We start from the raw sequence: 16367 nt of genomic DNA, 5'->3' as shown, positions 1-16367 counted from the left end.
ATGTTTTACAGAGGAGAAAACTAAGAAATGTGTATCAATCAGGACAAACTAGCTTAAATTGCAGTAACAAACAACCCCCAAATCACAGTACACTTGAAAGAACAAAGGCTCATTTCTTGTTCGTTGCATGTCCTTTTATATCAAATATGACTGTGTTGTTCATTGTTGTCTTTGCTGCAGAGTCCAGGTTATTGGAACAGCCTCTGTCTGAAACATGGCTGATACTCATAGCAGAGACAAAGAGAAAGCATAGTGCAATATGCATTGTCTCTGAAAGCTTCTGTTTAGAAGGAACAAACATTAGTTCTACTTATATTTCATTATATATTTCATTGGGCAAACTTGATGTCAAAAATGCATGTAAATACAATCTTTCCCCTACGATATGGTTTGGATTTGTGTCCCCACCGAATCCCGTGTTGAAATGTAATCCCCAGCATTGGAGGTGGGGCCTGGTGGGAGATGTTTGGATCAAGGGGGTGGATCTCTCATGAATGACTTAGCACCATCCCCTTCTTGATGAGTGAGTTCCCATGAGATCTGATTGTTTAAAAATGTGTGGAACCTCCCACTCGCTCTCTCTCTTGCTCCCCCTCTGCCATGTGAGACACCTGCTCTCACTTAGCCTGCTGTCATAAGCAAAAGCTTTCTGAGTCCTCACCAGAAGTGAGTAGACGCCAGTGGGATGCTTCCTGTGCAGCCTGCAGAACTGTGAGCCAATTTAACCTCTATTCTTTATAAATTACCCAGACTTGGGTATTTCTTTATAGCAATGCAAGAATGACCTAAGACATCCTAAGAGGGGCAATAAATATTTTTGAACAATAACAAAATATACCACAAGGAGTTTATCTTTTTATTACTTAATTTTTTTACAGCCTTCCTTCTCTCCCTTTACAAGGAGTTAAATGATTTGTCCCAAATCACACAACTAGCAAGTGACAGGATAAAAACTTGAAAGGAGATTATTTGACTTATAAATCCAGTTTCTCTTCATTTCATCATAAAGCAGACTGACTATCAGAGGGAATAATGGAGTGACTATGAAGCAACCGTTCTCTAATGCCCTTAACTGACCCAGCAGCCAAAAACATCTGAAGAGGTGGAGAACAAATGAGATAAGTGATTTCTTAAGGTCGGTTCTTTCAGTATATCAGTATTGGAGAGTCAACTGTTGTGGCCATAGATGGAAATACAGGAAGTGACAGCTTATTTGACTCTTGATTGCCTTAAGAGGATGCTAGAAGCAGTGAGAATGCAGTAAATGGAATAAAGCTCCAGCTGCATTACCTGAACTCCAAATATTATTACCAGCATTCAAGAGTGAAAAGGCCTGGGGAAGCCTGATAGCACAAGGATTAGACAGACATAGTAAGGCTGAGGGTGCCTTTGCTCATAAGTCTTTTTTAGTTTATTAATTTTCCAATCGATGGCAAAATTGCTTCAATTTAGTCTGTATAATCAAAGCAGGTTTCTGGTTAGTTCTATGAAGAATTCAACAGCTATTGAGTTTCTGCTGTTTCAGGTATTATGTTAGTCCCAGGGAACAAGACAGATATAATCCCTAATCTCATGGAGATTCTAATGTAGCACAAAATACAGATATTAAGTAACACATCATTTCAAGGGTGTTGAAAACAAAAGAGGAGGAACAGAATTGTACTGGACACTATTGGTGCTGTGACAAGATTCTTTTGAAACCTTTGAATTGTTTCTGTGAACTTCTCTCCCAGCTTCTGAGGGCCTTTGCTTCCAATTGACTGCACTTGATCATTTTCTGGACGGCTGCCTTCAGAACACTGGAGTGGATTGCCTGCAAGCATAGAAAGTGGGAGTTGCCTAGGAGTTTAAGTGCCCCTATCCAATGATTGGTAGGAGAGTCTAAAATCCCAGCCTCCTTGCCTTCTGGAAAAACAAAGTTAGGGGCAGCATTTACACTACAGAGTTCTCTTGATTAGGCTGAGCATGAGCCTTTGATGACTGAACCCTTGCTGGATGTTGTGGCCATTAAGAATGCACCTCACCGACCTCCAGCTATAAAGAGCATAATTGACTGATGGCCCCAGCTGCTGCTTCTGAACTCCATCACTGAGTTTGTCTCAGGGCTGCACTTCCCCCAGGCTGTTCCCAGCCAACAACTGAGCGTGGCAGGGACACTAAGACAGGCCCATTCCCAGGAGGCCTAGGATTCCCATGACAGGTAACTTTGGCTCAACAACTATTTGACAGCCTCAGCCAATTTTTCTTAGACTGAAGAGGGGTCTAGGATGCTCCCACGACCCTTCATTGCCTTCTTCCTTCACATGGGCTCAGACCTGTATCACAGCCTTATGGCTTTTCCAGCCCATCCTGATTACCCTCTGCCAATTTACTTTTATAGGTATTTCCCTGATAAAATCCTCAGATGCTTAATTCCATCTAGGCATCTGCTCCTCAGAGGATCCAGAAGAACACACTGGGCTTCCCTACGCTTACTCTTCACACGCACTTCTTTATGGTTTCTCCTGCGGGCACTTGCACATGAATCCTCCTCTCAAGGTCTGCTTCTCTGGAATCCAATGTAATGACAAGGGCTCAATGGGAATACATAATAAATGAATCTAATCAATTACCATTACAGTTGTGTTGAAGTTTGAAAGAATAGTAAACATTAATAGGCAAAAGGATGGAAGAGGCAGGATTTTCCAGGTAGAAGAAATATCATATTCAAAAGTTAGCAGGCAAGACTGAAAATGTCAGAGTCAAAGAAAGGAGCAATTAATAATTAATGTAGTGACAGATGAAGGAAGAAGCCACCTATGAAGAGCCCAGTTGACTGTGCTAAGGATTTTCATCTTTCCTTAAGAGTAAAGAGCCACCGTAAGACTTTAAACAGAGAGACAAAAGGATCAGATTTGCATGTTTAAAACATCATTCTGGAACATTAATTGCAGGGTAGCATAGAAGAGGGGAGAGCAGATAGAAAGTGATGCATTGGTCTGGTGCGGGACTAGGGTGGCTCAGACTGAAGCAGGGGTCGGCAAACCACAGCCTACAGCCTGTTTCTGTATGGCCCAAAGACAAAGAAAAATTTTTCATTTTTAAAGGGCTGTTGCAATGTACTGAATGCTTGTGACCTGCCTCTTCTAAATTCATATGTTGAAGCCCTAGCCCCCAGTGTGATGCTATTAGGAGGAAGGGCCTTTTGGAGGTAATGGGACATGATGATGGGACCTTTATTAATGGGATTAGTGCCCTTACAGAAGAAATCCCAGAAGGGATTCTCACCCTCTTTCCACCATATAAGGATACAAGGAGAAACTGGGAAGCTGCAACCCAGAAGAAGGTCCTCATCAGAACTGCCCATGCTGGCACCCTGATCTTGAACTATCGTCCTCCAGAACTGTACAAAATAAATTGTGGTTGTTTATAAGCCACCCATTCTCTGGTACTTTGTTGTAGCAGCCTAAATTGACTAAGACACTTGTTAAAACAATAATAACAAAAATGAAGAATATGTAACAGAGCCCATATGTGGTCCTGAACCCCTAAAATATTCCCTGTCTGGTCCTTTGCAGGAGAATACGTGTGGATCATGGACTAGAATAATGACAATGGGAATGGGGAAAACTAGTTGGATCAAAGAAATATTTTGGAGGTAAAATCAATCTGTATTTTTGATCTATTGTGTTTGGAAACTGAGAGAAAAGGAGGCATCAAAACATTATCCTACATTTCAAACTTGAGCAGTTGAATGGGTGGAGGTACTATTTACTGAGGGAATACGAGATGAGAAGCTAGTTTGAGAGAGCCTGCAAAACACCCACACTGTATCAGAATTTACCTTTGCCCATTTTAACTAAATTCAATTCAATAGTTTTATAGTGCAGACTACACAGATGAGCAGTTGCAATCTGTCCTCCAAAGCACTTTACAGTCTTATGACAGGAAGAAGTAGCAAGTAAAGTTAAACATAACACAATACAGGCTGGGCACGGTGGCTCATGCTTGTAATACCAGCACTTTTGGAGGCCGAGGCGGGTGGATCACCTGAGGTCAGGAGTTCAAGACCATCCTGGCCAACATGATGAAACCCAATCTCTGCTAAAACAATACAAAAATTAGCCAGGCATAATGGTGCATGCCTGTAATCCCAGCTACTCGGAAGACTGAGGAGAATTGCTTGAACCTGGGTGGCGAAGGTTGCAGTGAACCGAGATCACACAATCGCACTCCAGCCTGGGTAACAGAATGAGACTCTGTCTCAAATAAATAAATAAACAACAATAAATAAAATAATACAATACAGAATAGTATCAGGTGAGTGTCATAAATGGATAGGTACAAAATGCTAAGGGTGTTCAATGGAGCAAGAGAAAGAGAGAGATTGAGATAATATCCATTTAGAAAACAACAGAAAGGATTTTATAGGTGTGTCATTTTAAGTAGTCCTTAAAGTATGACTAGGATTTCAAGAAATAGAGCATATATATATATATATACACACATATATATATACACACATGCACATATACACATATACATATATACACACACACACAAAGATGGATCTCTAACCATATATATATTCACACATATAGATAGGTATCTATCTATATAACTGTATGTATATAATGATAACTATATATACATAAAACTTTAATCCTAGGGCCCCTCTTGGTGCCACTTTTAAATATCCTCAGAAAATCAAGGAAAAAATTATTGAAAATTCAAATCTTGAACATTATCCAGTTTATAACCAACAGCTGCATTTATTAGAGAGCTCCTTTCTCTCCTATCCACTTATCTTACATCTTCAGCAACTTTGAACTCTTCCTCTATTCCACTTATTTCCTCTCTAGAAACCTAGCTGTCTCAAAAACCTTGATATTTTCTTTCCCATGCTCCTTCTTCTTCTTTGACCAGTTGAGGCACTTGTCATCTGGTTTTGCTTCGCAAAAGCCTGAGAACTACAATGGCTAGGGCAGAACTCTTTTCAAAGGACTAAGTTTGGGGTAGGAGCAGATAAGAGGACTCACCTGTTAAGAAATATCTTTTCTGTCCCAATAAAATAGAGGGGGAATCACTGAGGTCTGTTTTAGGAAGCTTAATCAGAAGCTGAGTAGAATGAATAAAGACTGACAGTACATCTCAGGATACTCTGTGTAGGTTTGTCCTACCAGGTCTCAGTAGGTGTTACAGTATGTGGCATAGGGACTTCACTATTTGGATACAAGAGAGAAACAGAAATGACTGCACTTCATTTGCTGGAAGAAGAAAGGGAGCAGGTAAAGCCTGTATTTGCTGAACTCTATATACCTTATTTTTTTGTTGTTGTTGTACTGTTGAAGCAGTATTCAACTTTTGGGAGAAAAAGGCAGGTCATGGGGAAAAATATTTCCATCAGAGACCTATTTTTTAAAACCCAGAGAGGGATCTAAAATCAGCATATAGTTGGCCCAAGCTCTATCTCTGAGCCCTTCACCCTACCTCTGAGGACCCTATTGCACTGACAAGTGAGAATTCACATTCATGCTAATGTTCCTTCAAGCTACTGAGTCACCAGAGATTCAATTATGCTTTCCACATTTTCCATCTTAAGGCAGAAATGGACTAATGCATTTTAGAAAGATATTTGGTAATAAGTCTTGAAGCTAGGATGTTTTTCACTTTAAATGTCAGGTAATTGAAAAATGTGACCATGATTATTATTAACTATATTTCCTGGCCTAATTCTATTTAAAAAGTTCAGTGCTAAGTTTCATGGCTGTTTTGAAGGCAAAGAAGATAGGGCTCCTAATCTCAAAAATAGACATTTATATAAATAGTGACATGAAAAGAAAGAGAGGGAAAGAAGGAGCATTGAGAATGTGAGCAGAATGTGATACAGAAACCTCAAATGTTTCATCTGGACATTGATGCTATCATGAGTTCCAATTTTAAATCCTGTCATGATTCCAGAAGCAAAGTTAGTATCTTACTCAAACCCAGAGGTAGAGAAGTTATTAATTCCAGTATTATCTTATTTATTCCTTGTCTTTCTGTTGTGTCATTCTGGGTAAAAGGTGCGATGAAAGGAGAAAGTGTTAACAATGGGAGAAATTTGTTGCCTCTCTCTTTTTTTTTTCAAACTCTACTTTTATTCAAGCACTCCATTCCCCTCGGCTAATCTAGACACCTATCTTTCTTTCTCTGACCCTAATCACTGCTATTTCTCCAAAGAATAGGCATTTATTGAGCATCTGCTATATTCCAAGCCCTTCCAACTTACGAAGAGAGAGACTGCTTATGTCATGAGACAAGTAGCAATAGCCCCTTGCCATTTTCAATGTTTATTCCATTTCCAAGATGATTCCACACTTTGATTAAGGAAATATGTCTATTTTTCCTCCTTTGGAGGAAGTGGAGATGAGTTTGCTGTTGGAGATCTTTGAAGAAGAAGTACATTAGTCTTTGATTATTCATCCAAAAAAGCAAACCGGGGATTTTTCTTAATCTATATGAAGTCTTTCATCTGCTTTTAATAATCAGGGAAGGAATGAATGGCTTCTACAGAAACTTATAAACAAAATGGAGTGAGAGATCTTTAGAGATCCCAAGAAAAGAAAAAATATTCATGGGCCATGTCTTATAAGCTCAGAAAACTGGCATAAATGTCAGGAAAGCTACCTCCTCTGCCCCGACCCAGGCCCTAGCACAGTCAGTGCTCATGTGCTTCCGCACACATGTTCTCATGAAGCTTTCACAGCAAGCTGTGGGCTGGGAGTGCGGTAAGAGGATGGAAAACAATCTTGAGCCTGTTTTTCAGCTGAGGAATCTGAGATTCAGGGAAGTTAAGTTGGGGATTATTGAAAATCGCTGAGCTAGTAAAATTAGGGTCCAGATCTTCTGACTCCAGTTCCAGTGCTCCTCCCAGTAAATCACAGCTGCTACCCGAAATGTGGCCTCTTAGAAACCCTGTTGGAGACAAACATAGAAATGACAGGGACCTTTTGACAATGACCATCCAGTTTCCGCTCTACATTATAGAAAGATCAAGTGGGAAAATGCACTGGGCTATTAGAAATTATCCCACTAGAGCATTGTTGATGAGAATTGTGAGTGATTTAATCTGCTCGGAGACTACCCAACAACATCCAACAGAAGGTTGCTATGACAATGCCACTCTTATGTTAGTAGCTTTAAACAAAAATATCTAAAGGGCAGAGTAATTAGGTAAGTAGAGCAGTGAGTCTGCGTTGTTTCATGCAGTCATTTTCCAATGATTACCATTTTATTGTTGTGCCTTGTGCTCCCAGGTTCTGCCTAATATAGCAAATCTCCCTAGAGCAATGAGTTTGTGCGTGTTTGTGTCTGTGTCTCTGTGTGTATGCATGTGTATGTGATATGTGGGTCTCGTGGGGGTAGTATTTTTAATTAGTTCCTGCCCCCCGTGCCCTTTAGCAAGTGGCACCATATGGCAAACTCCCACTCAAGTGCAAATATGAGAAAAGAAGATGTGGGACTGCAAGATACACGCACAAACTCAAACTACGCTTGTCGGGGGTTATGAGTACATGTATGGGAACAATATTTGCTTGCGCCTTGTTTTTTTCTTTTTAAATTAAATTTAAATGCATCTCGATATTGCTTGTTCCAATTCCCTCTGACTCAGATTGTCATTTCCCAAGGCTTCTGAAAGGTTTTTTTGCTTCTATTTCTAATGCCTGGCATTCTGACCCACCCAATCAGGCGCCACTGCTACCCTCCCCATCCTCTGGGCCCCGGAAATCTAGAACTCTCTCCTTGAATTGCTTATTCATCCCAGGAGCATGCTGCCAAAGAGACTATCTAATTCCCTGGGCTTTATCCTGCATCCCCTCCCAACACAATTTTTAAAACACTGATATTTATCGAGCACTTGCTATGTGCCAGGCCTTTAGTCAGGCACTTCAGGTATTTTATCAGTTAGTCCATCCTCATGATAACAAACATGAGGAACTGAGACTCACAGAAGTTAAAGTCTTAGAATCACATGGCTATTAAATAGCAGAGCTGGAGTATAAACTCTGGGCTGGCTAAGCCCATTCTTTCTATTATACCACACCGCCTTACTTAAGGAGGGCTTATATATTTAAGATATGAAAGGGCCAATAGCTCATTCCCCCTGCCTTGCTTTGGCATGCTCTATGGCTCTTTAACAATTGTATCTATTCATTTCAACTGGTGAGTCTCACTGCTGCTTTCCTGGAGGCATTTGGCAATGTCTGGAGCCATTTTTGCTTGTCACAACAGGGGAGTGCTACTGGCATCTAGCGGGTCAAGGCCGGGGATGCTGCTAATCATCTTGCAATGCACACCACAGCCCCCACAACAAAGAATTCTCCTGTCCAAAATATCAACATGGCTTAGGTTGAGAACAAACCTATGGATTTAGACAAACGCTGTGGATTCTCAGACACTGGATAATATTGCATGTACCCTCTACTTATGGAATTCAGTTCACTGAAATCTACCTGGTCTTCACTTAGGTAGAACACAAGCCTATGCCTGGGAGGGATCTGAACCTTTTTCTTTCATTAGAGCCCTTTGTGGGTGTCAACACACAAGAAACACTACTATAGTGGACAGAAAAATAAGAAACGTCATAAAATGATATAACATCTTTCCAGAGGGCACATAGGAGACACGGTATTTGTCTAGGGAATCAGAGGAAGTTGCTTTCATGAAAGTTGTGATGCTTAACCTCAGACATGAAACGTAGGCAGGCACTCCTCAGGTGCACAAGTGAAGGGTCAGCTTTTCTGAGAAGAGTGCAGAGTGAGTGCTATGTCTTGGGGGTGTGAAAGGGCATGGCTTATATGGGAAGAAGTATGCTCCAAGGGCCTAGAGCACGAGGGATCGGTAAGACAAGAAGCAGAGCAGGTAGATAGGAGTTTCACCTTAGAGGGCCTTGTGTGGAGCTTCAATGTTGTCTTCTAGGTGTCAGGGAGCTTGCCCTATTGGCTCTCAGTTTCCTTTTAGTAAAGGCAGGATTATCCCAGCCTAAGGATCAACTATATATCCCCATCCAATAACTGCTCATAAGAATATACTGATGTATTCATTCCCTAAGACTGCCATAACAAAATATGGGGTGGCTTATAATAACAGAAATTGACTCTCTCAAAGTTAGAAATGCTAGAAATCTCAAATCAAGGTGTCAACTGGACCAAGCTGTCTCCAAAGCCTGTAAAGGAAGATGCTTCCTTGTCTTTTCTAGATTCTGATGGTTGCCAGCAGTCCTTGACATTCCTTGGCTTGTAGATGCATTGCTCCAATCTCTGCCTCCACTGTCACATGGCATTCTCCTTCTGTGTCTGTGTCCACATCTTTGTCTTCTTATAAGGACACCAGTCATATTAACTAAGGGACCACCCTAACCTGGTGTGATCTCATCTAACTTGATTACACCTGCAAAGATCCTAATTCCAAATAAGGTTACATTCAAGATGCTGGGATTTAGGACTTAAACATATCTTTTTTGAGGGCAGAATTCAACCCACAACAACTGACTAGGTCATAGCTTCCTACTTATAGAGGTCAAGCCTCTCTGACCTGGGACTAACAGCTTTTTGCTGGGACCACTGATCAAAGGACAATCTACCTCCAATTTTATACTTGTGTTACAGTCTGTGAAATGAGACAAACAGAACCTGTGCAAGGTTTGGAGAAATTAAAGGAAATCGTGTTAGAGACAGTCCAACTAAAGTGATACTTTACAAAGCTGAGTCTGATAGAATAAACTGTGGTCCTATATTTGCAGGACTGTCAGCCTGGCTTTTTTAGCCATGTAAAATGTGTTACAAAGTGTTTTTATTCCTAAAGAAGTGGTCCCACAGGGGAGATTAAAAGCAGAATTTATTATCATCATTATCTGAAACAATGTAGCCACATTGTCACTAGGTAGTGCCTTTAGAATGTCATTGTTGTTTTGTTGTGTTGGTTTTCTGTTTTGGTTTCCAAAGCTGTCATCTAAACAAAAACATTGCCCTCAGGAACATCCTGTAGTTTGTTTCATGACTCGTGGGGCTCTAGCTTGTCAGAAAGCACAGTGCAGTGACTAAGGGAACAGTAAAGCACATTGGAATGGACTCCAGTCTAAGAATTTGGACTGTGTTGGAGCTGCCATGAATTTACCACATGACCTTTAACAAGTTCCCTTCCTCTTCTAAGCCTGTTTCTCTATCTAAAAATTAGGACTAACACTTAACAGCATCATGCAAAACTGATTCTTCAACTTAGGCTCTAACCCGGAACTTGATGGTAGTTAGCAACATGGTATTTGTCTTTCATTATTGCCCTAAATATACTCTCACCTCATTTATTCTGTGTAATTAATCACTAATTCTTCTTTGTACAATTTATTAACTTTCTTAAGGGGAAGTTGACATCTTACTTTAAAAAATCAACCTGGACCATCAAGCATATCCCCCCATATATCTCAATATCTGCTATCACTCCCCAGTCCTCAAATTTCACCCCATCCATATAAGAATGCCTCAATACCAAGTGTTCTCTGAGCAAAGTGAACTATATTTTAAAAAATGAAGTTATAATAAATTCTTAATCCATTCAGTTTACTGTTATGTATCAAAAGGCTCAAGGCAGTGCTTCTCAATTTTTACATGGCTCCGGGACTGAAACCTCTATCTTCCCACTTAAAATAAAGGGCACACCCATGGGAAATTTGGCAACATTAAAAAGTCTCCCAACTTTGTTTTCCATCCTCTCCTCCATGCCCTTTAGATATTCTGATGCCCCTTTAGCCTTTAGCCCCATGAAAATCAGAAAAGAACTTGATACTATTTATTTACTTTTAAAAATGTTGCTGAGAACTTACTGTAGTACTGGGATTACAAAGACCAATCAGATATCATATTCAAATCAAGAAGACCACACAGTCTAGTTGGAGCAAGGAGTCAAGAAAATTAATAAGGTTCCACAGGAGTGGGACAGTTGAGGGCTCAGATAATGGTCGGTGATTTGCCTCCAAGGATGTGACTCTTGCATTGAGTTCTAAAACACAGTCAGATGTTTCCAAATGTGTAAGCTAAATAGAAAAATGTTTCAGACAGAAAGCATTCCACGGGAAGGCAAAAGGCATTGAACTGCATGTGTATTCAGAGAGTGGTGAACCATTTAGATCATGAGGCAAGAGTAGAGCAGCAGGTTAGTCTACAGGGTTTGTCTAACAGACACAGCAGGCTAAGAAACATGGGCTGGGCATGGTGGCTCATGCCTGTAATCCCAACACTTTTGGAGACTGATGTGGGCTGATCACCTGAGGTCAGGAGCTTGAGACCAGCCTAGCCAACATGGCAAAACCCTGTCTCTACTAAAAATACAAAAATTAGCTGGGCGTGGTGGTGTGCACCTGTAATCCCAGCTACCTGGGAGGCTGAGGCAGGAGAATTGCTTCAACTTGGGCTGCGGAGGTTGCAGAGAGCCAAGATCATGCCATTGCACTCCAGCCTGGGCAACAGAGTGAGTCTCCATCAAAAGAAAATAAAAGGAAGGAAGAAAGGAAGGAAGGAAGGAAGGAAGGAAGGGAGGGAGGGAAGAAAGAGAGACTTGTTCCTTGTTCACCTTCAGGTTTTATGCTTTAGAATGATATCTCTGGTAGAACCGCAGTAAGAGAATAAGAGTCGAAGCCAGAAAACAAGTAAGAAAATGACATACATCTGATCCTTATTTGGAAATAGCATCTTATTAGTGAGGAGGGTAAGGAGAGAAAATAGAGGGAACGGGAAGTAAGAGCCAGTCACAAAGCTTTGAGTGATCTTAGGTAGGCACACAGGGGAAGCATTCTAGGAACTGTCCTGGATGCTGATTTTACTTCTGGACAAATTGAGATTGAGTTGTCTGAACATCATTGAGTGGAAATACTCATGGGGTGTTGAAATTTGGGAGAGAAAACAGGATGGGAAATCTTAATATATGTAGTATAAAAGTTATCTTCTTCCTCTCATTCCCTTTGCTCTTTCACTTTTCTAAATCTGTTCATCTTTACAAAGATCCAGATAAAGTTTCATTTATTCTTGAACTTTCTCTCAAATACTCCAGTCCATACTGATATTGCTATTCTTTAAATTCAGTTGTGCTTATAACCAATACTATGGCAAAGTACATCCTTATTATTTAATTATATTGTATATGTTCATACAATATATGTGTACACATATAATTTATTAATGCATACAATACACACATTAGTAAAAATATGTATATTTAATTATATTGTATATGTTGATTTTGACTTTCTGTAAGCCACCTTTGGCAACAGGCTCAAACCCTAACATTTATTTTCATGGCTTAAGGCAAAAATACAAATGGCAGCACACATATTATGTGTCTAAATCAGCCTCTGGTCCACAGACTCCTAGGGGTCCCTGAGTCCTTTTTAACTCTGTTGACATTTAAACTGCTACTGCTGCTTGCAAAGAAATATAGTATAAAAGTGCTGATATTTTTGCATGAATTGAGGCACTAAATTGTTCTTGTAGTCATATCCTTTACTCACAGAAAAGAAATAAAAAGGTTTCTCTAAAAATTTTCCTTGGTAAAAACAGTAAATAGTAAAATTAATTTTATTAAATCTTAATCTTTGAGTTCTTGTATTTAAAATATTCTGTAAGATCTTTTAAATACACTGTAAGATGAAATGGAAACTTCTCATAAAGCACTTTGCTGCAGCCTAAAATACAATGTTATCTGGAGGAAAAGCACTTGTGCAATTGCTTGAGTGGTGGGTGACCTACTCCTCATCCCCCATTTTTAAGAAACATTTTTACCTGAAAAAAGGACTGACAGACAAACTATAGCAATTCAGACTTGAGTATTTGTTGGAAATTTTCTCAAATATGAACGAAATGAACCTATCACTTCAAAGAAAACAACTGATAGTATTTGTTGCCTAAGATAAAATTGGACCTGTTAGTAAAAATAAAATTTTAGAAAACTTGTATCTGTTACCATGAGCTTGTCAGCTTCCCTATACTGAATGACTTTTCTGATGAGATGAGTGGTTATATTAGTGTTTTCTTTTCTTTCAGTGTTGGTACTTAACAATTAATGGATTTTTAAAATATTGTACTGCCTAACAATGAATTATTCAAAAAGGAAATTAAGAAAACAACTTCATTTATAATAGCATCAAAAAGAATAAATACTTAGAAATAAAATTAATACAGACATGAAAGGCTTATACACTAAAAACTAAAAAACACTGATGAAAGACATTAAAGCAGACACAAATACATGCAAAGATATCCTGTGTTCATGGATTGGATAAATTGATATTATTAAAATATCCATACTACCTAAAGTGATCTACAGATTTAATGCAATCCCTATCAAAATCCCAATGCTAGTTTTTACAGAAATAGAAACAACAATCCTAAAATTTATAGGATTTTAGGAACTATCAAAGGAACTACTAAAGATCCTATATAGCCAAAGCCATTTTGAGCAAGAAGAACAAAGCTCAAGGCATCATACTTCCTTATTTCAATATAGATTACAAAGCAACAGTAATCAAAACAGTATGATACAGACATAAAAACAGGCAAATATACCAGTGGAACAGAATAAAAAGCCCAGAAATAAACTAACCTACACATATACAGACACGAATTCTGAGAAGAGTGCCAAGAACACATACTGGAAAAAGAGTAGTCTCTTCAATAAATGGTGTTGGGAAAATTGTATCCGCATGAAAAAATAAAATTAAATTAAACCCTTATTTTACAACCTTACAACATAAACAAAAATCAATTCAAAATGGATTAAAGACTTAAACATAAAACCTGAAACTATAAAACTCCTAAGAGAAAACATAGGGAAAACCTTCCTGACATTGGTCTTGGCAATGATTTATTGGACATGACACCAAAAGCACAAGCAACAAAAGCAAAAATAGACAAGTTACATTAAACTAAAAAGCTTCTACGTAGCAAAGGAAAAAAATCAACAATATAAAAAGGCAACTTATAGAGTGAGAGAAAATATTTGCAAACCACATATCTGATAAAGGGTTAATACCAAAATATATAAGAAACTCATGCAACTCAATAGCAAAATAATATTAATAATAACCCAATTTAAAAAATGGACAAAACAAACTGAATAGACATTCCCCACAGAGGACATACAAATGGTTAACAGGTACATGAAAAGGTGTTAAACATCACTAGTCATCAGGGAAATGCAATTGGAAACCACAATGAGGTATCCCCTCACACTTTGTAGAATGGCTATTATCAAAAAACAAAAGATAATAAATGTTTATGAGGATGTGGAGAAAAGGAATCCTTGTACACTGTTGGTGGGAATGTAAATTAGCACAGCCATTATGGAAAGCAATATGGAGGTTTCTTTAAAAAATTAAACATAGAACTACTACATGATCCAGCAATCCCACTTCTGGGTGTATATCAAAAGGAATTGAAATCAGAAGCTTAAAGATATATCTTCATTGCCATGTTCATTGCAGCATTATTCACAACAGCCAAGATATGGAATCAACCAATTGTTCATTGACAGAATAATGGATAAAGAAAATATAGTATCCACATACAATATTTAGCCTTAAAAAGAAGAAGAAAATCCTGCCACTTGTGGCAACTTGGATGAACCTGAAGGATATTATGTTAAGTAAAATAAGCCAGATACAGAAGAACAAATATTACATGATGCCACTTACACGAAGAATCTAAAATAGTCAAACTCACAGAAGCAGAAAGTAAAATGGTGGTTGTCAGGAGACAGAGGAAAGGGAAAATAGGGAGATATTAGTCAAAAGGTACGAAGTTCCTGATGTACAAATTGAGTAAGTCCTAGAGATCTACTGTACCATATACTGCCTATAGTTAATATTATATTTTATACTTAAAAGATGCTGAGGGTGGATCTTATGTTGTGTTCTTATCACACACATGCAAATACTAATAATAAATAAAAAGGTGGGAGAAATTTTACAGGTAATGGATAGGTTTATGTCACAGATTGTGGTGATAGTTTCATGGGAGCATACTTATCAAGTTGTACACTTTAAATATGTACCACTTTTTACATGTCAATCATACCTCAATAAAGCTGTTTAAGAAATATTGTGTAAGGAAATATATCAATGTTTGGGAGATCTGTGTAACTTAGTGAACCAATATTTACCAAACAACTAATTAATGCATAATGTAACAAGTATTAAAATTTATTTCACATGGTTTCAGAATTTACATTGGGAAACATCTTTAAGAAATTACTATTTGTCAGTATTGGTGTGGAAGCAAAAAAAAGAATATACATAATTATGTAAAAAGGCTATAAAAATATTTCTTCTTTTTCCAACTATGTATCTGCGTGAAGCCAGATTTTCTTCAAATATGTCAATTAAGACTACGTATCACAACAGATTGAATGCTGAAGTGGACAGAAAAACCCACTGTCTTTCTTTAAATCAGGTGATGAAGTTGCAAAAATGTAAAACAATACCACTCTTCTTTCTAACTTTTTGTATTGAAAAATATAGTATCTTTCATAAGAATATGTTATTTATATCAACTATAAGTTCTTAACTGCTTTTTAAATAAATAAATTATAAATACTTAACATATTTAATTCTGCTTTTTAATGTGATAAATATAAAGAAATATTACCCACATATATACAAGCTCTTTGGGGGTCTTCAATAATGTTTAAGAGTATAAAGGGGTCTTAAACCCAAAACTTTCAAAACATCCAGCCAACAAACTATTAGATAGAATATGTTCTATTATCCTATCTTGACAATTCAGAATTAAATTTAAAATTCTTCTACTCCTCAGAAAACTACCTTGGACTACGAGGGTGTGGGGTGAGCCAGCCATTACCCCCACCCTGAAGCCTGTCCCCCTTTTCTTCTCCATGGACTACAAGGGGTCTTGAGGGCATGCAGGTGAACACCCAGATCACAAGTCCAAGCAGATACCCACCTGCTGCAAACAGCTACCTATTGGCCACCTTTTGGGCCTAGGGGTATGCATATCTACAGCGACATCCACTTTCAGAAGGACAGACACTTTGAAGAAACCTATGTAGGCCCTGGAGGCAGGATTTGGACCATTTGGGCAAGAAATCCAGGGTTCCAGGTACTCATGGCTTGGTCAAAATAGAAGGTTCCAGCTGGGCCCTTCTCTACCTTGTAGATTCTCCATTCCCAGAGGAACATAGTCAGAAAAGGGCCATAGTGGAGCCCTTTGAATCAACAAAAGACCTCTTCCCTCTGTTTCTTGGGTCTAAAGGCAGTACTCTGTCAAATCCTTTATCAACTCTGAACCACAGTTTTCTCTCTATAAACTCAGATGGTCAGAATAAATTCAATCTCATACCAA

The 16367-nt window shown here is 38.6% G+C and overlaps 1 long non-coding RNA gene across 2 annotated transcripts; it reads left to right on the top strand.

Moving 5' to 3' along the window:
- Positions 1-860: 860 nt before the first annotated feature.
- On the top strand, positions 861-16367 carry LOC107985223 (uncharacterized). Of its 2 annotated transcripts, XR_001738274.2 has the most exons (3): positions 861-3637; positions 15368-15458; positions 15822-16367. It is a non-coding gene; the product is annotated as an uncharacterized LOC107985223 (long non-coding RNA). The 2 variants fall into 2 exon arrangements; XR_007066702.1 differs by lacking the exon at positions 861-3637 and having other exon boundaries at positions 14606-15458.

This window comes from Homo sapiens, chromosome 1 (genome assembly GCF_000001405.40).
Source record: "Homo sapiens chromosome 1, GRCh38.p14 Primary Assembly".
NCBI classification, from domain to species: Eukaryota; Metazoa; Chordata; class Mammalia; order Primates; family Hominidae; genus Homo; species Homo sapiens.
This window is presented reverse-complemented; position numbering and strand designations above follow the sequence as displayed.